Genomic DNA, 22,683 nt, shown 5'->3' with positions numbered 1-22,683 from the left:
GGCTTGGTATCCAACAGGTGTGTGATGATGTGGGCAGCCTTTCCACTCCCACCAATGTCTGCTCTCTTAAGTCCCAGTTGGGCTAAGTACTCCTAAGTACCCCTAAGTCCCAGTTGGGCTAAGTACTCCAAACTACCCCTAAGTCCCAGTTGGGCTAAGTACTCCTAAGTACCCCTAAGTCCCAGTTGGGCTGACTACTCCTCAAAAGCAAAACCTGCCAGGTTGGTGTGAAAATGAGGTGCAGACTCCTGTCATGGGATAGGAGTCACAATTGTTTCTTGCTTTTAGTTTCTAGTTTAGTGCCACCTCCACCAACCTTCCACTTCCCCTCATTACCACGTCCACACTGTCATGGAACAAATAGAGCCAAGACACATGGTGTACAATTTATGTAGCTGCTTTCACGTTCTACCGACCCTGTTTTGTTTTGTTTTTGTTGTTGTTGTTGTTGTTGTTGTTTTTGAGACAGAGTCTTGCTCTGTCTTCCAGGCTGAGTGCAGTGGCGCGATCTTGGCTCCCTGCAAGCTCCGCCTCCCCAGTTCACGCCATTCTCCTGCCTCAGCCTCCCGAGTAGCTGGGACTACAGGACCACGCCACCACGCGTGGCTAATTTTTTGTATTTTTTTAGTAGAGACGGGGTTTCACCGTGTTAGCCAGGGTGGTCTCAATCTCCTGACCTCGTGATCCGTCCGCCTTGGCCTCCCAGAGTGCTGGGATTACAGGCGTGAGCCGCCGCGCCAGGCCCCGACTCTGTTTTGAATAGTTTGCCATTTCTTTGCTTCCTCTGGGACATTAGGGAGTTATGTTGGAGTGTGGCCGAGAGAATTTAAATCATGTGAAGCTTCTCTCTTGATGTAGCACTTGCTGTTCTATCTATATGGATGGAGACTCACTGCTTTGGGACCACAGAGATGTGGGCTCTGTAACCCCTCTAGGCATTTGAGAGGTCTCCAAGCCTCCCCAGATATCTTTGGTGTCGCCCAGAAAGGAAATGGGTCATTCCCTTCCCAGTCTAGTTCACTTAGTCCCAGAATGATTGAAACAAAACTGAAATCAAATCCATCTCCTACTTAAAAGCCTCAATGACTCCTCATTATCTACAGGATAATAGCTTAGCTGCCACTTAGTCTTCCAAGATGCCCCTTTCATTGAGCCATGTCTTCTGGTAGCCACTCCCTTGAATAGTGCCCTCAGCATTGAATCTGGGCTGGCAGAGAGGCTTTCAAGTCTAGGGCATGGGACTTCGCAGCTTCTGTCCTGTTCTTTGCAACTTCCACTTTGGAGAAGCCAGCTATCGTGAGAAAAGCCCAATTACCCTGATACCTCCATGCTGTGAGGAAGGCAGGGGTAGCCACGTGGAAGGCACAGAGGCTGCATGGAGATGGAGAGAAGCCAGCCGTCCCTCTGTTGCAGTCCAGCCTTCACATGACTCCAGCCCAGCCATCCACTAAGTGCATTTGTAGGAGACACCCCAGTGAGACCAGCAGAAGAACTTCCTGGTGGGACCCAGTCAGACAGTGGTTGAAGCTGGAACAGTGAGGAGCTGGAGCAGGTGGAGACCGGCCACATCCCTGTCTTCACGATGTCTCAGCTTCACCGTGTGTTCACCCCAGGTGGGCTACTTTGGGCTTCCGCCAAGCATGTGGTGGCTTCCAAGAGCAAGTGACCTAAGAAGCAGGAATTGGAAGTTGGCAGTTTCTTGGGCCTTCCCAGGCTTAGAAACCAACATGGCATCACTTCTGTCTTATTCTATCAGTCAATCAGTCACAAGATCCAGGCTCAAGGACAGGGGACTCAGACATGCTCTCTTGATGGGAGAAGTCTCAAAGAATTCAGAGACCACGTTACAAAGTGTTTCAGTCCGATCTCTGGCCAAAAATTACTTATAATTCTCTCATGTGCAAAATACACTCACCCTTTTTCTTCCTTGCACACATTCCTACCATTGCAGGCACCATACTGTTTTAATTAATCATTTACATGTTTGCCTGCGTTTTGAACTTCCTTAGAAACAGATAGGGTGTCAAATTCATCCTTATTTCCCTTGTGCCTGGTATGCTTATTACACAGCATATAATAATACCCAGTGAAGGATGAACCACTAGGCCGGGTGTGGTGGCTCCCCCTGCCTGTAATCCTAGCACTCTGGGAGGCCGAGGCAGGTGGATCACCTGAGGTAAGGAGTTCAAGACCAGCCTGGCTGACATGGCGAAACCCCATCTCTACTTAAAAAAATACAAAAAATTAGCCGGGCATGGTGGCAGGCACCTGTAATCCCAGCTACTTGGGAGGCTGAGGCAGGAGAATTGCTTGAACCTGGGGGTTGGAGGTTGCAGTGAGCTGAGATCATGCCACTTCACTCCAGCCTGGGCTAAAGAGCAAGACTCTGTCTCAAAAAAAAAAAAAAGGATGAACCACCATAAACTATACTGTGCACACATACAGTCAACAGATTGTGATGAACATGAATTGAGAAAGTAGAATATCAACTAATGGTTGGACTGAACATAGTATTGAATGACACATTACCTAAACAGCTATCTCCCTCTTCTCAAGTCTATTCAAATCATTTTGAAAATTAAAAATAATTTTTAAAAATTTGGAAGTAGAAATGGAACCAGCAGAAGGCTACTCATAGTGTTGCTAGGGGAGCAAATAATATTAACATTTGTTATCCTGTCCTATCTGCTCACTCATGTTTTATCTTTATTTTTGCCTTCCTTTTCTACTGAGCTGGGTCAGGTGAGAGCTGGAGTCAGGCTGTGGCCTTCCTCAGTTGGCAGGTAACTCACCAGTTTGTTCATCCTTCTTTTTCTCTTATTGAAAGCACTTTGATCCAACCTGTCAGAAATATAAGCCAGGGCAGTAGGTCAGTACTGCCCTGAGCCATCATGAACTCTTGTCCATGGGAAAGAGGGGATTTGGAGAGCAGAAAAATGGAGACAAGTTTCAATTTAGATTCAAAAAAATCTAGGAGACAGTCCCATGGTCATTAGATCTTTTCTAAATTTGCAGCAAATGGAGGAGTTTTGAGCTCCAAATGTTGTGATGTTTGTCCCACATCTGAATCTTGAAAGGAACCAGTTTGTGCCTCAGTCAGTTTGCGTGGAACCTGGTGCAGGATTGAAGTTACAGGACGGTGCTCCTGGAAGGGGGTAAGGATTCAGTGGTGAGGATCTAGGGCTAGCCAAGAGAGGGAAAACCATCATTTTATTCATTTTCTCACCAACACCTAGTTATGTACAACCTGCCTTGTGCCAGGCACTGATCCAGTCCCTAGGAATATGATGGAGCACTAGGCAGTTAGGGTTCCCACCCTTGGGGAGCTTACATTTCAGTGAGGGGGACACATATGTTTTAAGCTAAAAATCCATGTGATACTTATAAGTTCTAGAAAGGAATCAACAAGGAGGTATCATGGACAGTCAGTGGACAGGGCAGTATTTTAGGCAACGTAGTCAAACCTTTCTGAGGATGAAACATTACAGTTAAAACATGAGGGGTGAGGAGGAGGCAGCCAGATAGACCTCTGGAGGAGGAGATGCAGCACCTGGTTCTAGGTACCTGACAGAGGTGGATGGAGTGAGATCCTGCAGCCCTCTCAAGCCAGCTTGAGGGGTATTTTAAGGACAATAGGAAGTCATTAAAGGGTTTTAAGATGGAGAGTAAAATAGTTATGCTTTAAAACCTTCAGCCTGCATACTGTATGGAGAACAAAACAGAACTGGCGACATCAGTCTTCATACTCATCCAGTAGTCCAGACAAGATAGGAAGATGGCTTAGACATGAGGAGTGCCAATGAAAGTGGGGAAAATGAATGGATTTGAGGCATATTTTGGCAGTATTGCCAACAGGACCCACGGGTAAATTGAGGGAAGAACAAAAGAAGACTCAAATTTCTTCAGAACTGTGTGGCCCCTTATTGAGAGGATCATCTTCAGATGCCTATAGACATCCAAGTGGAAATGCCAGCTCAACAGTTGCATATATGAGCCTGGAACACAGAGGAGCATTCTGGAGGTGCCTGCACAGAGACTTAATGCACAAGATCAGATGTGTTCACTAATGAGAACATGTGATGCAAGGCAGACAGGAACCCAGGACCAAGGCCCAAGGGCCCCAATGTTTGGAGGCTGTTAGGGAAGCAAAGGACTAGGGGTGGGTTGGTGAAGCATATTTTTACACCTTCACTCATGCTATTCCTGTTGTCTTTAGTGTTCTTCTTCCCTTTCTTTGACTGGTAAGATCCCAATCATCTTTCATAACCCAATTCAAATGGCATCACTCCAATGTTGACACACTGTCTCAACCAGGCTCCATGTGAGCCTTTGCTGACCCCACCAGCCCCATCCCCAACCGAGCAGAATCAGTTGCTTCCTCCTCTGTCAGCCCTTTGTTCAAATGCTCCCTGGGTTCCAGGCAGTTACTGACTTGTCCTTTTCCCAAAAATGATTGGAGCTCTTCCAGTCAGGAATCGGTGGCTTTATTTCTTCTTATAACTGGATACAGACCCAGTACTTAGCAAACTATACATATTCGTTGAATGAATGAATCAATGAATGGATAGATGGAAGAATGGTCTATATAGTATAAAGTAACCTGACAGTCAGCTAGTAGATGTGGGCTATCTGAAAAGATTGGATAATTTAGGTTGGGAAGTTTAGGTTAGGAAGGGTGGACAGGAATCCTCAGAGCAGATCTTTGAGAACCAAGCTGCCTATAGAATGATCCATACATAAGATGTTGCTTATAACTAAGCTTGAGGAATATTCACTGATGAATGTTCACCACCAAGTCATTGATCTCCTTGTACAGCAATGAGGTTTCTTGTGGAAGTCACTGAAGAGAAACAAGGGAGTCTTGCCAAATATCAGGGAGTCAGGGTGTGCCGAGCTTCAGCAGAAATACAGATTCTGGAATGTAAAGGTGAAGACGGTTGTGAGAAGACAGAGTCCACTACTGGCCTCTGGTTCTTTTTCACTGAGTTAATTTCCTGAATGCATGTGGTTGCTGGCAGCAAAAAATCCATCTCTCCCAGTAACAGAAGGGTTTTGCCAAAGAGTAGCTCTGACAGGTTGTGTAAAAGTTGTGTAAAAGCAGCAACAAAACACGTCTCTGTTCATTCTCAAGTTGCTGCTGCTTTCTGCACTTCCAGCAGTGCTGGGGCTCCAGTGTTCCGGCTACAGCAGTGCCACTGACACAGGCGTTGGGGGCAGGAGTGGGCCTGCCTGGCAGAGAGATGGCAGTCTCCCGAGCCTGTGCCATGTCTCTAGGCTGCTTTTTCTTTTACTTTTTGAGACAGAGCCTTGTTTTGTCGTCCAGGCTGGATTGTAGTGGTGCGATCTCGGCTCACTGCAACCTCCGCCTCCCAGGTTCAAACGATTCTCCTGCCTCAGCCTCCTGAATAGCTGGGATTGCAGGCACCCGCCACCATGCCCAGCTAATTTTTGTATCTTTGGTAGAGATGGGGTTTCACCATGTTGGCCAGGCTGGTCTCTAACTCCCGACCTCAGGTGATCTGCCCGCCTTGGCCTCCCAAAGTGCTGGGATTACAGGCATGAGCCACCACACCTGGCCTAGGCTGCTTTTTCTTGTTATCACCATGGCAGGGTGTGGAGGCAGAGGGCCCTGGTTTTCTGCTCCACCTTCAACCCCTGCTGCTCACTGACTCCCACAAGGAGGTCATCTTGCCCTTTCTTTTTCATCACAAGCTAGGAAACCGCTACACCAATTCCTCTTAAAAATCTGCCTGCAAGTAAAGAAATACAAAAACAACTTTACTGCCAATGGTGAGTTTAGTCGGTGTATCGGTCGGAATCCTGTCTCATGGCCCATTCAGAGCTGGGTAACTGGACAGAGCTTAATAAAGGAATTCTTTACAAAGGTGAGGACAGAGTTTAGGAAAAACCATCAGGTATGGTGCGGTACCTGTGGCTCTTAACAGCAGGAGCTTGACCACACCTGGACTTGAATGAGAGCAAGGGGAGGGAGTGATGACCAGGTGTGTGTTGAGGAGGTGTGGGCTGGGGAGCACACAGGAAGTACAAGTGTGAGTTGGCTGAATGAGTTGTCTGATGTGGGTTGTAGCCTTCTGTAGAGGCAGTGACTCAGCAGGGAAGTTGCTGACGGATTAAATACCCTTCCTTCACTCTTTACCCTCCTGCTGGCTTCCTTTAATAGCTGAACCAACCAGAAGCCAGAGAACAATGGATGCCATTTATACCAGTCAACCTCCCTGATCACCCAGCAGGTCCGAGGCAGGAGAGGAGAGGACCTTGAGGCCAAAATGAAGGATTCCCCTGCCCAGTCCTAGCTGGATACTTTGACACATTTGCCAGAGTTTTCAAAGGCCAATCCCATGTATGTTCTTTGCATAATGATTTAGGGGTCAAAAATGCTATCTGCTCTTCTCAACACCCAGGACTTTAGGGCTGACGGGAAGGCACCCGTGGTGGGGTATGCCTCCAAAGGAGGTCCTCTGGCAGGTAGACATCCATCCATAGCCGTTACCTGTTCTGACAGAGAAGTAACACTGGCCCTTGCTCTCTTGTTAGTGCTTAATGACCTTGACTTGAGATTTTTCCCTGGACCTTTACTTAAGATTACTCTTACAAGGATCTGACTTCTAGTTGGTTATTTGAGTTCTTGACCCTACCTGCATTCCTTCTGCCATTAAACATTGGTTTGATATCTTGCTCTCCTGGAACCTGACTCCAGCACTCCCATTTCTGCGTGCTAACTGGCTTGATTCCATCTTAAATAGAAAGACAGCACCTTTCTGTCTGCAGACTTTATGCTTTGGGAGTCTTGATTCATCCTAGGATTCACCCATTCCTACACTCGTTACCTTCTCTAAGTCACCCCAGTGCCAGGGTTTTGGAAAGTAAGGCCATTTCCTTAAGTGTCCCAGGATCACCATATTGGTTTAAAGTAAAATCCACACCAATGATAGAGCCACTTCCTCATCCTAGCTGGGTTTCCCCGACCCTGTCTATGTAACCCTGTTAGCCCTGTTTGCCTCTGTCTCCCTGCATCACACATAAGGCTTTTCTTCTCTCTTGATGTATCTTGGGTGCTGTGCCTTGCATAGTCTTTGGTTTGATTTTTTTTCTAGAGACTCCAAGTGTCTATTTTAATGTTTCACCTGTTTCTCAACCCTGCAGGTTGACATTCTCTGGAGCCGAGATCTGGTTCCCGCTCCCACCTTTCTTTTCCATTTTCTACATTTACATCTACTGCCCTTTTCTGATTTATCTCTTTCTCTTGATTTGAGCTGTGTCTCTACTATTCCCCTCCCCAGACAAGGAGATGAATTTTAATATTTTCTGCTAGGTAGTAATTTCTAGCACTCCCCATATCCAGCCTGGCTCTTAACAGTGAGACCTCTCAGTAGCATTTTAGAGGTTTAAGAATTATCTTAAAGACTTTCTGATTCATTCTCTTACATTTTTCAAAATATGCAATTTTCTATTCAAATCTAAGATGAGGAGCTGTTTCGTCAAATACGTAAGATTGCATGCGTACAGGATATTGCTGGGATTTAAATGTAGTTTTTAGGATGCATCACATTATTTTGTGTGTCAAAAAATATTCCTCAAATAAGAAAGACACTGTACATTTTAAAAATGCTTTTGACAGTGTCTTACAATCCATGTATGGGGACTTACAATTTTGGGAAGTCATGTAAACTTTCCTGAGTTGCGAGTGAATTCAGTGCTTCCTCCACTCATAAATGTTATTACCCTACAAAGAAATTTCTAGATTATCCCACATAAAAGAGAAAACCAAACTCAGGAAAGACCATAAGATTATGAACTGGTACCTTTTCCCAGCACAGAAATCAGAACTGATAGCTTTAAATTAGAAGTGATATATAGCTCGTTCTTAGAGAGCTCTCTGTGCAAAATTTCATCATTTTGTGCAATGCTTTATACAGAGTACACACACAAGAAGGATTGACTGACAGTAAATGTTTACCAGTTCAAATTTTACTGAACACCTCTAATATCAGTATCTATCCTGGTAGTTTTTAAAATAATGCTATATTCATCACCATTACCACCATTATCATTCTTGATTTTTTGTACTGATTAGAATGTTTTCCATTGCAACAGAAACCCCAACTCAAACTAGCTAGCAGCAATGAATATTTTCTCTCTCATAACAGGAGATTCCTTAAAATGAGGGGCTTTAGAGTTAGTTGATTCATCAGATTACTAGTGTCGTTGAGTATCTCCTTGGTGTAGTAGCAAGGTTGGTAGTAACATTTCCAGATATGGCATTATTCAGAGAAAACAAAAGTTATTTGTCTCTTTCTATGGCTTTGTTTAGCAAGAAAAGACCTTTTCCCAGGAGCTTCTCAGGAGCATCCCCTCATGACTCAGCCATGAGGGTAGGGTCACAAGCCCATTCTCAGATCAGTTACTAGCATGATTGATTTCTGTGCACCCTCTGAAGCGGCATGCATCTTGGGGGATCAACTATGGTGTCTACCATACATTTATATAGTGACTTCAGCTTACCAAATGCTTTATGCATCCATCCAAGGTATAAGGTAAGGTAAGGCAGGTGTTATCATCCCCATTTTATATGAGATGATGGACGCTTATAGAATATTACCTTGTTCTTATGAAATGTGCTTCTGCAAGGAATGGTAGAGTAGCATGTTGCCATTTAAAAATCCCAAATAAAACAATCAATGGAGCCAGTGATTATTAATGTCTGCTAAACTATCAGATGAGTAGCCGATGGGAAACATTATAATGAACAGATCTGTCTGACAATGCCTAGACCTATTAATCAAACTTAACATCACAAAAAAGAGGGGTAGTCAGATAGTTCAATCTCCTGATGTGACATAATAGGTAGTACATAAACCTGAATCTCATCAAGCCTCTAAATCTAACAGTTTATAGAAAATACAGGGGACAGAGGAACACATTAAAAGACATCATAGGAGTGCAATAAAAATCCAGAATGTGAGAAATTTTACATAATAATCTATTTGATTTCTTCAGTAGATACATTATAAGAAAAAAAGAGAGGCAGGAGGAACCAAAAGATCAAGAGTCTTAAAGGACATATCATCTAGGTGCAATTAAGACCTTGTTTAGAGTGTGATTTGAATAAACTAAGTTTTAATAAACAATCGTGGAAAAAGTGGAAAATTTTCATGGTAGTTGGAAATTTGATAGTTATATTAAGGACTTTTTGTTAATTCTGTTGCATATACCAATAATAATTTTCTTTTAGGGATATATTCTGAAATGTTTATGGATGAAATTATACAATGTCTGGGATTTGCTTTCAAATAATTCAGGTCAAAAGAGTGGCATGAATAATATGGCAGAATGTGAAGTCCCAGGCCCTCCTTCCTCTACAGAGACACTGACACAACAACACACACACCAGCTGCCTTTGTGAAAAATCCAGAAACAAGTTAAGAGGCTCCTGAACTCCAGGAAAACATGAAGCCAACTGAATCAAAGCCAGGCAGGAAAATCTGTGGCACTCACTCACTAAAGTTCCTTCTCTCCACACAGTACTGTATGATTTGGAGAAAACTTCCAAATCCCAACTTCTCCCCAGGGAGAGAAAGAGAAGAGCAGAATATGTGTCCAACAAGTCTGACTTTTGGAGGGGACTGCCTGGAGGGGTTTTTGTCTTGTCTGGATCTAAGTGGTGACAGGAACAAGGCACTGGGTTAGAGACCACTGAGAACAAAGACAATAAATGTGGCTTAGTCCAGCATGAGAGTCTGCACTGCCACAGATAGGCAATAGGAGGAGCTCCCAGGTAGAAACTGGCAAACCTCTTCAATTAGGAGATGACACACATGCACAAGCCCAGAAAGAACATATCCTAGAAAAGACTTGCAAGATGTCTACAAACTCTAGCTGGGACAAATGGTGGAAGATTTCCCTGTACAAACCAGACCACATAGACTAGGAGAGGTGGCTGATTTTTCAGATGCCAAGGTCTCATCAGAAGATAACAAGGCATACAGAGATCAGGGAAACACAGCTCAATCAAAGGAGCAAATTAAACTTCCAGAAACTGACCCTAAAGAAACAGAGCTAAACCAAGCATAGTGGTACATGCTTATAGTCCCAGCTACTTGGGAGGCTGAGGCAGGAGGATAAGTTGAGCCCAGGAATTTGAGACCAGCCTGGGTAGCAACATAGTGAAACCTGTATCTAAAACAAGCAAACAAACAAACAACAACAACAACAAAAGAAAAACTTAATAAGAAAAGAAATAGAGATATATGAATAATTTAAAATAATTGTCATAAAAATGCTCAATAAATTAAAAGGGAGCACAGATGGATAACTAAACAAAATCAAGAAAACAATGCATGAACAAAATGAGAAATTAATAAAGTGATGGAAACTATGAAGAAAAAACAAGAAGAAATTCTGAGCCTATGCAACATAGGAAGACCCCGTTTCTACAAAAAAATTAAAAAACAAATTATTCAGGCATGGTGGCATGCACCTATAGTCCTAGCTACTCAAGAGGCTGAGGTGGAGTATTGCCTAAGCCTGGGAGGTTGGGACTGCAGTGAACCGTGATTGTGCCACTGCATTCCAGTCTGGGTGGCAGAGTGAGACCTTGCCTCAATAAATAAATAAATGAATAAATAAATAAATAAAATTCTGGAGGTGAAGAATTTGATAACTGAATTGAAAAATTCACTAGAGGGAGTCAACAGCAGACTTGATCAAGCAGAAGTAAGAATCAGCAAACTTGAAGGCAAGCCATTTGAAATTATTGAGCCAGAAGATCAAAACACAAAATGAAATTGAAGAAAGCAAAAGGGACTCATGGCGCACCATCAAGTTGACAAATATGTGAATAATGGGAGTTTCAGAAGGAGCAGTGAGAGAGAAGTAGACAATGAGCTTATTTTAAAATATAGTGGCTGAAAACTTCCCAAAGCTGAAGGAAAAAAATGGACATTAAAATTGAAGAAGCTCAAAGGACTCTAAATAAGATGAACAAAAGAGGCCTATTCTGAGACACATTATGATCAAACTGTCAAAAATCAGAAAGAGAATTTTGCAAGCAGGAAGAGAAAAGTGACTTGTTAGATATGAGGGAGCTCCCATAAGATTATCAGTGGATTTCCCAGCAGAAACTTTAGAGGCCAGAAGGGAATAGGATGATATAGTCCAAGTGCTGAAGGAATAAAACTGTCAACCAAGAATACTATTTACTGTAAAAATATCCTTCAAAAATGAAGGAGAAATAGATTTTCTCAGATAAACAGAAGCCAAGAGAGTTCATCATCACTAGATCTGCCTTATAAGAAAAGCTAAAGAGCATCCTTCAGGTTGAAATGAAAGGACATAAGATAGCAACATGAAAGCATACAAAAATACAAAACTTGCTAGTAAAGAAGTACAGAGACAAATATAGAATACTATAACACCGTAATGGTGGTACATAAATCACTTTAAATTCTGGTATAGACTTTAAAATATGAAAGCTTAACAAATAACTACAACTATAAACCATGTTAATAAACACAAAATATAAAAATACAGTCATCCCATAGTAGCCACAGGAAATTGGGTCCAGGAACCCCTGCAGATATCAAAATCCATAAATGCTCACATCCCTTATTTAAACTGGTGTAGTATTGCATATAACATATGCACATCCTCCAATGTAATTTATGTTATCTCTAGATTGCCTATACATTAATAGATTACTTATTACTTAAATCTAATACATGTAAATGCTATGTAAACAGTTGCTATATTGTATTGTTTTAATATCTGTATTATTTTTATTGTTGTATTGTTATTTTTATTGTTGTGGAGGTATTTTTGACCCACAGTTGGTTAAATGCATGGACGTGGAACCCACAAATGCAGAGGGATGATGGTGCTAATTTGTGTCATCAACAACATAAAGTTGGGAGGGATGAAAAAGATTTGAGATTTTGTATGCAACTGGAATTGTTATCAGCTTAAAATAGATTGTGATAACTGTAAGATGTTTTTTGTGGGCCCCATAGTAATCACAAAGGAAATACATATGGTAGATACACAAAAGAAAACGAGAAAATAATCAAAGCATAAAAAAAATCAACAAATCACAAACGAAAGCAGCAAGAGAAGAAAAAAAAGACAAAATAACTACAAAACAGACAAAAGACAATTGCCAAAATGGAAATAGTAAGTCATTCCGATCAATAATTACTTTAAATGTGAATGGACTGGCCGGGTGCGGTAGCTCACACCTGTAATCCCAGCATTTTGGGAGGCTGAGGCAGGCGGATCATGAGGTCAGGAGATCGAGACCATCCTGGCTAACATGGTGAAACCTCATCTCTACTAAAAATACAAAAAATCAGCTGGCTGTGGTGGCACTCGCCTGTAGTCTCAATTACTTGGGAGGTTGAGGCAGGAGAATTGCTTGAACACGGGAGGTGGAGGTTGCAGTGAGCCAAGATGGCGCCACTGCACTCCAGCCTGGGAGACAGAGTGAGACTCCATCTCCAAAAGAAAAAAATATGTAAATGAATTACGTTCTCCAATCAAAAAACATAGAGTGGCTGAATGGATTAAAAAAATAAGATGCCACTATGTATTTTCTACAGAGATTCACTTTACATTTAAGAATACACACTGGCTGAAGTGAAAAGGTGGAAAAAATATTTCCATGCAAATAGTAACCAAAATAGAGCAAGTGTGAACATATTTATATCAGGCAAAATAGACTTTATGTCAAAATTTGTCACAAGAGGCAAAGAAGAATATTATATAATGATAAAACGGTCAATTCTCCACGAAGATATAGCAATCACAAATATGTATGCAACTAACTTCAGAGCAACCAAATATATGAAGCAAACATTGACAGACTTGAGAAAATAGACAGTAACACAATAATTATACATTTCAATACCATACTTTCAATAATGGATAGATCAACCAGACAGAAGATCAATAAGGAAGCAGAGGACTTGAACAATATTGTAGATCGATTGGACCTAACAAACATATACAGACATTCCACCCACCAGAACCAGAATACACTTTCTTCTCAAGCACACATAGGACATTCTGCCAGATAGATCACATGTTTGGTCACAAAGCAAGCCTTAAGAAATTTACAAATACTGAAATCATATCAAGTATCTTTTCCAAACACAATGGAATGAAACTAAAAATCAATAGCAAAAGGAAAACTGGAAAACTCACAAATATGTGATAATTAAACAACACACTCTTGAACAACCAATGAGTCAAATAAGAAATCACAAGAGAGATTAGAAGTATCTTGAAACAAATAAAAATAAAAAGACAACAGGCCAGATGCGGTGGGTCATACCTGTAATCCCAGCTCTTTGGGAGGCCGAGGCGAGCAGATCACAAGGTCAGGAGATCCAGACCATCCTGGCTAACACGGTGAAACCCTACCTCTACTAAAAATACAAAAAATTAGCCGGGCGTGGTGGCAGGCGCCTGTAGTCCCAGCTACTTGGGAGGCTGAGGCAGGAGAATGGTGTGAACCCAGGAGACAGAGCTTGCAGTGAGCGGAGATCGCGCCACTGCACTCCAGCTCTGGGTGACAGAGCAAGACTCCGTCTCAAAAAAGAAAAAAAAACACAACATACTAAAACTTGTGGGATGCAGCAATAGCAGTACTAACAGGAAAATTTATAGTGGTAAACACCTACATTAAGAAAGAACAAAGCTTGCAAATAAACAAACTAACTTTACACCTCAAGAAGCTAGAAGTAGACAAACAAATTAAATCCAAAATTAGAAGAAAAAATGAAATAATAAAGATAAGAGCAGAAAGAAATAAAATAGAGAATAGAATAACAATAGGAAAATTTAAAAAAGTTTGTTTTTTGAGAAGATCAACAAAATTGACAAGCTCATAGCTAGAGTAAGAAAAAACAGAGAAGACTCAACCAATTTAAATCAGAAATGAAAGAGACATTACAACTGATACTGCAGAAATAAAATGATAGTAAGAGACTACTATGAACAATTATATGACAACAAAACTGGATAACCTAGAAGAAATGAATAAATTCCTAGAAAAATATAACAGACCAAGACTGAAGCATGATGTAATAGTAAATCTGAACAGACCTATAACTAGTACAAAGATTGAATCATTGATCAAATATCTCCCCACAAAGTAAAGCAGAGGACCATATGGTTTCACTGGAGAATTCTACACACACTTAAAGAAAAATTCATACCAATCCTTCTCAAATTTTTCCAAAAACATTGAAGAGAACAGAACACTACTAAACTCATTTTATGAGGCCAGCATTACCTGACACCAAAGCTAGGCAGAAATAGTACAAGAAAAGAAAGCTGCAGACCAGTATTGTTGATGAATATAGTTGCCAAGATCCTCAACAAAATATTTACAAGCCAAATTTAACAGCACATTAAAAGGATTATACATCAAAACCATGTGGGATTTATCCCTGGTATGCAAGGATTGTTCAACATACCCAAATCAAACAATGTAATATACTACACTAACAGAATGAACAATAAAAATCACATGATGATCTCAATTGATGTAGAAAATGCATTTGGCAAAATTCAACACTGTTTTATGACAAAACACTTATGTATGAATAGAAGGAAATATATAAATATAATAAAGACTATATATGAAAAGACTAAAGCTGACATCATACTCAATGGTGAAACATGGAAAACTTTCCTTTAAGGTTAGGAACAAGGCAAAGATACCTACTCTCACCACTTCTATTCAACATAGTGCTAGAAGTCTTAGCTAGAGCAATTAGGCAAGAAAAAGAAATAAAAGGCATCCAAATTGTGAAAAAAAGAAGCAAAATTACCTCTCTTCACAGATGATGTGATCAAATTTGTAGAAACTCTAAAGATTACACACATACACACATACGAAAATTGTTAGAACAGATCAACAAATTTAGAAAAGCTGCAAAATACAAAATCAACACACAAAAATTAGTTGTATTTCTATACACTAACAATGAACAATCCAAAAAGGAAAATGAGAAAAGAATTACATTTGCAATTTCATTTAAAAGAGCAAAACATACAAGAATAAACATAAGCAAAGAAAATCCCTACCTAAATCCCAATGGCACTTTTTGCAGAAACAAAAAAAAAATCCTGAAATTTGAATGGAATTGCAAAACACCCTGAATAGCCATAATAATCTTGAGAAAGAAGAACAAAGCTGGAGGCTTCATACATACTGTTTTCAAAACATATTACAAAGTTACACCAATCAAAAGAGTATGGTACTGGCATAAAGACAGACATATAGACCAATATAACAGAATAGAGAGCCCAGAAATGTTCCCTTCACATCTATGGTCAAATGATCCTTGACAAAGATACCAAGACTACACAATGGGGAATGGATAATTTCTCTAACAAATTTGGTTAGGAAAATTCATATGTAAAAGGAAAAAGTTAGGCCCTTTTCTTATACCATACACAAAAATTAACTTGAAATTAATTAAAAACCTAGAGATAAGACCTGAAACTATAAAATTCTTAGAAGAAAACATAGGAGGAAACCTTCATGACACTGGATTTGGCAATGATTTCATGAATATGACATCAAAAACACAGGCAACAGAAGCAAAAATAAATGGGACTACATCAAACTTTAAAATTTCTGCTCAACAAAGGAAAAAATCCGCAGCATGAAAAGTCATCCTGCAAATGGGAGGAAATATTTGCCAACCACATATCTGAAAAGGGGATAATAATTGGAATATATTTTAAAAACTCTGACAACCCAATAACAACCAAAAACTTGATTTAAAAATGGGCAAACAACCTAAATGGGCATTTCTCCAAAGAAGATATACAAATGGCCAAGAAGCATATGGAAGACATGTTCAACATCATTAATTAAAAGGGAAAAGTAAATCAAAACCACAATGATATATCACTTTATGTCTGTTAGGATGGATACTATTAAAACAAACAAACAAAAAAAACAGAAAATAACACACGTTGGAGAGGATGTGGAGAAGTTGGAATCCTCATGTACTGTTGGTGGGAATGTAAAATGGTGCAGTCACTGTGGAAAACAACATCGAGTTTCATCAGAAATTAAAAATAGAGGATTCCATTCCAAGATGGCCAAATATGAACAGCTCTGGTCTGCAGCTCCCAGCGTGATTGACACAGAAGATGGGTGATTTCTGCATTTCCAACCAAGGTACCTGCTTCATCTCATTAGGACTAGTTGGACAGTGGGTGCAGCCCATGGGGGGCGAGCCAAAGCAGGGCGGGGCATCGCCTCACCCAGGAAGGGCAAGGGGTCTGGGGATTTCCCTTTCCTAGCAAAGGGAAGCTGTGACAGAAGGTATCTGGAAACATGGGACACTCCCACCCAAATACTGTGCTTTTCCAATGGTCTTAGCAAATGGCACACCAGGAGATTATATCTTGCATCTGGTTTGGTGGATCCCATGCCCATGGAGCCTTGCTTACTGCTAGCGCAGCAGTCTGAAATCAACCTGCAAGGCAGCAGCCTGGCAGGGGGAGGGGCATCCACCATTGCTGAGGCTTGAGTTAGTAAACAAAGTGGCTGGGGAAGCTCGAACTGGGTGGAACCCACCGCAGTTCAGCAAGGCCAGCTGCCTCTGTAGTCTCCACCTCTGGGGGCAGGGCATAGCTGAACAAAAGGCAGCAGAAACTTCTGCAGACTTAAAAGTCCCTGTCTTACAGCTCTGAAGAGAGCATTGGTTCTCCCAGCACAGTGTTTGAGCTTGCAGAATGGACAGACTGCCTCCTCAAGTGGGTCTCTGACCCCATGTAGCCTAACTGGGAGGCACCTCCTAGTAGGGGCCGACTGACACCTCATACAGGCGGATACCCCTCTGGGACAAAGCTTCCAGAGGAAGGATCAGGCAGCAATATTTGCTGTTCTGCAGCCTCTGCTGGTGATACCCAAGAAAACAGAGTCTGGAGTGGATCTCCAGCAAACTCCAACAGACCTGCAGTTGAGGGACCTGACTGTTAGAAGGAAAACTAACAAGCAGAAAGGAATAGCATCAACATCAACAAAAAGGACATCCACACCAATACCCCATCTGTAGGTCACCAACATCAAAGTCCAAAGGTAGATAAAACCACGAAGATGGGGAGAAACCAGAGCAGAAAAGCTGAAAATTCTAAAAACCAGAGTGCCTCTTCTCCTCCAAAGGATCACAGCTTCTCACCAGCAACAGAACAAAGCTGGATGGAGAATGACTTTGACGAGCTGACAGAAGTAGGCTTCAGAAAGTCGGTAATAACAAACTTCTCCAAGCTAAAGGAGGATGTTCAAACCCATTGCAAGGAAGCTAAAAACCTTGAAAAAAGATTACACGAATGGCTAACTAGAATGAACAGTGTAGAGAAGACATTAAATGACCTGATGGAGCTGAAAACCATGGCACGAGAACTATGTGATGCATGCATAAGCTTCAATAGTTGATTTGATCAAGTGGAAGAAAGGGTATCAGTGATTGAAGATCAAATTAATGAAATAAAGCAAGAGGACAAGTTTAGAGAAAAAAGAGTAAAAAGAAATGAACAAAACCTCCAAGAAATATGGGACTATGTGAAAAGACCAAATCTATGTTTGATTGGTGTACCTGAAAGTGACAGGAAAAATGGAACCAAGTTGGAAAACACTCTTCAGGTTATTATCCAGGAGAACTTCCCCAACCTAGCAAGGCAGGCCAGAATTCAAATTCAGGAAATACAGAGAACACCACAAAGATACTCCTCGAGAAGAGCAACCCCAAGGCACATAATTGTCAGATTCACCAAGGTTGAAATGAGGGAAAAAATGATAAGGGCATCCAGAGAGAAAGGTTGGGTTACCCACAAAGGGGAGCCCATCAGAGCAACAGCGGATCTCTCAGCAGAAACTCTACAAGCCAGAAGAGAGTGGGGGCCAATATTCAGCATTCTTAAAGAAAAGAATTTTCAACCCAGAATTTCATATCCAGCCAAACTAAGCTTCATAAGTGAAGGTGAAATAAAATCCTTTACAGACAAGCAAATGCTGAGAGATTTTGTCACCACCAGGCCTGCCTTACAAGAGCTCCTGAAGGAAGCACTAAACATGGAAAGGAAAAACCCTTACCAGCCACTGCAAAAACATACCAAATTGTAAAGACCACCGATGCGAGAAAGAAACTGCATCAACTAACGGGCAAAAATAACCAGCTAATATCATAATGACAGGATCAAATTCACACATAACAATATTAATCTTAAATGTAAATGGGCTAAATGCCCCAATTAAAAGATGCAGACTGGCAAATTGGATAAGGAGTCAAGACCTATCGGTGTGCTGTATTCAGGAGACCCCTCTCACATGCAGAGACACACATAGGCTCAAAATAAAGGATGGAGGAAGATCTACCAATCAAATGGAAAGCAAAAAAAGGCAGGGGTTGCAATCCTAGTCTCTGATAAAACAGACTTTAAACCAACAAAGATCAAAAGAGACAAAGAAGGCCATTACATAATGGTAAAGGGATCAATTCAACAAGAAGAGCTAACTGTCCTAAATATACATGCACCCAATACAGGAGCACCCAGATTCATAAAGCAAGTCCTTAGAGACCTACAAAGATACTTAGACTCCCACACAATAATAATGGGAGACTTTAACACCCCCCTGTCAATATTAGACAGATCAGTGAGACAGAAGGTTAACAAGGATATCCAGGACTTGAACTCAGCTCTACACCAAGCAGACCTAATAGACATCTAGAGAACTCTCCACCCCAAATCAACAGAATATACATTCTTCTCAGCACCACATCACATTTATTCCAAAATTGACCACATAGTTGGAAGTAAAGCACTCCCCAGCAAATGTGAAAGAACAGAAATCACAACAAACTGTCTCTCAGACCACAGTACAATCAAATTAGAACTCAGGATTAAGAAACCCACTCAAAACTGCACAACTACATGGAAACTGAACAACCTGCTCCTGAATGACTGCTGTGTAAATAACGAAATGAATGCAGAAATAAAGATGTTCTTTTAAACCAATGAGAATAATAAAGACACAACATACCAGAATCTCTGGGACACATTTAAAGCGTGTGTAGAGGGAAATTTATAGCACTAAATGCCCACAAGAGAAAGCAGGAAAGATCTAAAATTGACACCATAACATCACAATTAAAAGAATTAGAGAAGCAAGAGCAAATACATTCAAAAGCTAGCAGAAGGCAAGAAATAACTAAGATCAGAGCAGAACAAAAGAGATAGAGACACAAAAAAACCCTTCAAAAAATCAATGAATCCAGGAGCTGGTTTTTTGAAAAGATCAACAAAATTGATAGACCGCTAGCAAGACTAATAAAGAAGAAAAGAGAGAAGAATCAATTAGATGTAATAAAAAATGATAAAGGGGATATCACCACCGATCCCACAGAAATACAAACTACCATCAGAGAATACTATAAACACCTCTATGCAAATAAACTAGAAAACCTAGAAGAAATGGATAAATTCCTGAACACATACACCCTCCCAAGACTAAATCAGGAAGAAGTTGAATCTCTGAATAGACCAATAACAGGCTCTGAAATTGAGGCAATAATTAATAGCCTACCAACCAAAAAAAAGTCCAGGAGCAGACAGATTCATAGCCGAATTCTACCAGAGGTACAAAGAGGAGCTGGTACCATTCCTTCTGAAACTATTCCAATCAATAGAAAAAGAGAGAATCCTCCCTAACTCATTTTATGAGGCCAGCATCATCCTGATACCAAAGCCTGGCTGAGACACAACAAAAAAAGAGAATTTTAGACCGATATCCCTGATGAACATCAATGTGAAAATCCTCAGTAAAATACTGGCAAACTGAATCCAGCAGCACATCAAAAAACTTATCCACCACAATCAAGTCTGCTTCATCCCTGGGATGCAAGGCTGGTTCAACATATGCAAATCAATAAACATAATCCATCACATAAACAGAACCAACAACAAAAGCCACGTGATTATCTCAATAGATACAGAAAAGGCCTTTGACAAAATTCAACAGCCCTTCATGCTAAAAACTCTCAATAAACTAGGTATCAATGGAACATATCTCAAAATAATAAGAGCTGTTTATGACAAACCCACAGCCAGTATCATACTGAATGGGCAAAAACTGGAAGCATTCCCTTTGAAAACTGGCACAAGACAGGGATGCCCTCTCTCACCACTCCTATTCAACATAGTGTTGGAAGTTCTGGCCAGGGCAATCAGGCAAGAGAAAGAAATAAAGAGTATTCAATTAGGAAAAGAAGAAGTCAAATTGTCCCTGTTTGCAGATGACATGATTGTACATTTAGAAAACCCCATCGTCTCAGCCCAAAATCTCCTTAAGCTGATAAGCCACTTCAGCAAAGTCTCGGGATACAAAATCAATGTACAAAACTGACAAGCATTCCTATACACAAAAAACAGACAAACAGAGAGCTAAATCATGAGTGAATTCCCATTCACAATTGCTACAAAGGGAATAAAATACCTAGGAATCCAACTTACAAGGGATGTGAAGGACTTCTTCAAGGAGAAGTACAAACCACTGCTCAACAAAATAAAAGAGGACACAAACAAGTGGGAGAACATTCCATGCTCACGGATAGGAAGAATCAATATCATGAAAATGGCCATACTGCCCAAGGTAATTTATAGATTCAATGCCATCCCCATCAATCTACCAATGACTTTCTTCACAGAATTGGAAAAAACTAAAGTACATATGGAACAAAAAAAGAGCCTGCATTGCCAAGACAATCCTAAGCAAAAAGAACAAAGCTGGAGGCAGCATGCTACCTGACATCAAGCTATACTACAAGGCTACAGTAACAAAAACAGCATGGTACTGGTGCCAAAACAGATATATAGACCAATGGAACAGAACAGAGGCCTCAAAAATAACACCACACATCTACAACCATTTGATCTTTGACTAACCTGACAAAAACAAGAAATGGGGAAAGGATCCCCTATTTAATAAATGGTGCTGGGAAAACTGGCTAGCCATATGTAGAAAGCTGAAACTGGATCCCTTCCTTACACCTTACACAAAAATTAATTCAAGACGGATTAGAGACTTAAATGTTAGACCTGGAACCATTAAAACCCTAGAAGAAAACCTAGGCAATACCATTCAGGACATAGGCATGGGAAAGGACTTCATGACTAAAACACCAAAAGCAATGGCAACAAATGCCAAAATAGACAAATGGGATCTAATTAAACTAAAGAGCTTCGGCACAGCAAAAGAAACTACCATCAGAGTGAACAAGCAACCTACAGAATGGGAGAAAATTTTTGCAATCTACCCATCTGACAAAGGGCCAATATCCAGAGTCTACAAAAAACTTAAACAAATTTACAAGAAAAAAATAAACAACCCCATCAAAAAGTGGGCAAAGGATATGAACAGACACTTCTCAAAAGAAGACATTTATGCAGCCAACAGACACATGAAAAAATGCTCATCATCACTGGCCATCAGAAAAACGCAAATCAAAACCACAATGAGACCATCTCACACCAGTTAGAATGGCAATAATTAAAAAGACAGGAAACAACAGATGCTGGAGAGGATGTGGAGAAGTAGGAACGCTTTTACGCTGTTGGTGGGAGAGTAAACTAGTTCAACCATTGTGGAAGATAGTGTGGCAATTCCTCAGGGATCTAGAACTAGAAATACCATTTGACCCAGTGTTCCTATTACTGGGTGTATACCCAAAGGATTATAAATCATGCTGCTATAAAGACACATGCACACGTATGTTTATTGCGGCACTATTCACAATAGCAAAGACTTGGAGCCAACCCAGATGTCCATGAATGATAGACTGGATTAAGAAAATGTGGCACATATACACCGTGGAATACTATGCAGCCATAACAAAGGATGAGTTCATGTCCTTTGCAGGGACATAGATGCAGCTGGAAACCATCATTCTGAGCAAACTATCACAAGGACAGAAAACCGAACACCACATGTTCTCACCCATAGGTGGGAATTGAACAATGAGAACATTTGGACACAGGGCAGGGAACATCACACACTGGGGCCTGTCGTGGGGTGGGGGCAGGGGGAGGGATAGCATTAGGAGATATACCTAATGTAAATGACGAGTTAATGGGTGCAGCAAACCAACATAGCACATATATACCTATGTAACAAACCTGCATGTTGTGCACATGTAACCTAGAACTTAAAGTATAATTTAAAAAAAGAACAAAACTATAAATTTCTAGAAAAAAACACAAGAAAATATATCACCAAAGTGTGATCCATAATAGAAAAAAATTGTATTGATAGACCACATTTTGTTTATCTATTCCCCAGCTGATAGACATTTGGATTATTTCTAGTTTTTACAATTATAAATAATGCTGCTGTGAACATTTGAGTGTAAATTTTTGTGTGCACATACATTTTCACTTCTCTTTAGGTAGATGCCTAGGAGTAAAATTAATGGGTTGTATTGTAAGCGTACATTCGATCTTTTAGATATTGTCAAATAGTTTTCCAAAGTGGCTGTATCATATTACATTTCTACCATCCATGTAAGAGGGTTCCAGTTTCTTCACATCCCTGACAACACTTGCTATTGTCAGTCTTTTTAATATTAGCTATTCTAGTGAGTGTTACAG

General features: G+C 40.7%; 1 long non-coding RNA gene across 1 annotated transcript in view, besides 2 other annotated features; it reads left to right on the top strand.

Moving 5' to 3' along the window:
• Nucleotides 1-22,683, top strand: part of MRPS9-AS2 (MRPS9 antisense RNA 2) — a 102,256-nt gene that overhangs the window by 62,622 nt on the left and 16,951 nt on the right. The gene's annotated exons all lie outside the window — the stretch shown is intronic.
• Nucleotides 5,281-6,480: an enhancer, noted in NCBI's record as "P300/CBP strongly-dependent group 1 enhancer chr2:105585853-105587052 (GRCh37/hg19 assembly coordinates)". NCBI's record gives its function as "activates an origin of replication core promoter dependent on BRD2, BRD4, P300/CBP, MED14 and CDK7 cofactors, with strong dependence on P300/CBP, by STARR-seq in HCT116 cells {active_cell/tissue: HCT116}" and the evidence as "EXISTENCE:reporter gene assay evidence [ECO:0000049][PMID:35650434]".
• Nucleotides 5,797-6,446: an enhancer, noted in NCBI's record as "OCT4-NANOG hESC enhancer chr2:105585887-105586536 (GRCh37/hg19 assembly coordinates)". NCBI's record gives its function as "activates a minimal SCP1, AML or CMV promoter by ChIP-STARR-seq in naive and primed H9 embryonic stem cells {active_cell/tissue: H9 hESC(naive and primed)}" and the evidence as "EXISTENCE:reporter gene assay evidence [ECO:0000049][PMID:30033119]".

The sequence above is a fragment of the Homo sapiens genome, chromosome 2, assembly GCF_000001405.40.
Source record: "Homo sapiens chromosome 2, GRCh38.p14 Primary Assembly".
Lineage (NCBI taxonomy): Eukaryota > Metazoa > Chordata > Mammalia > Primates > Hominidae > Homo > Homo sapiens.
This window is presented reverse-complemented; position numbering and strand designations above follow the sequence as displayed.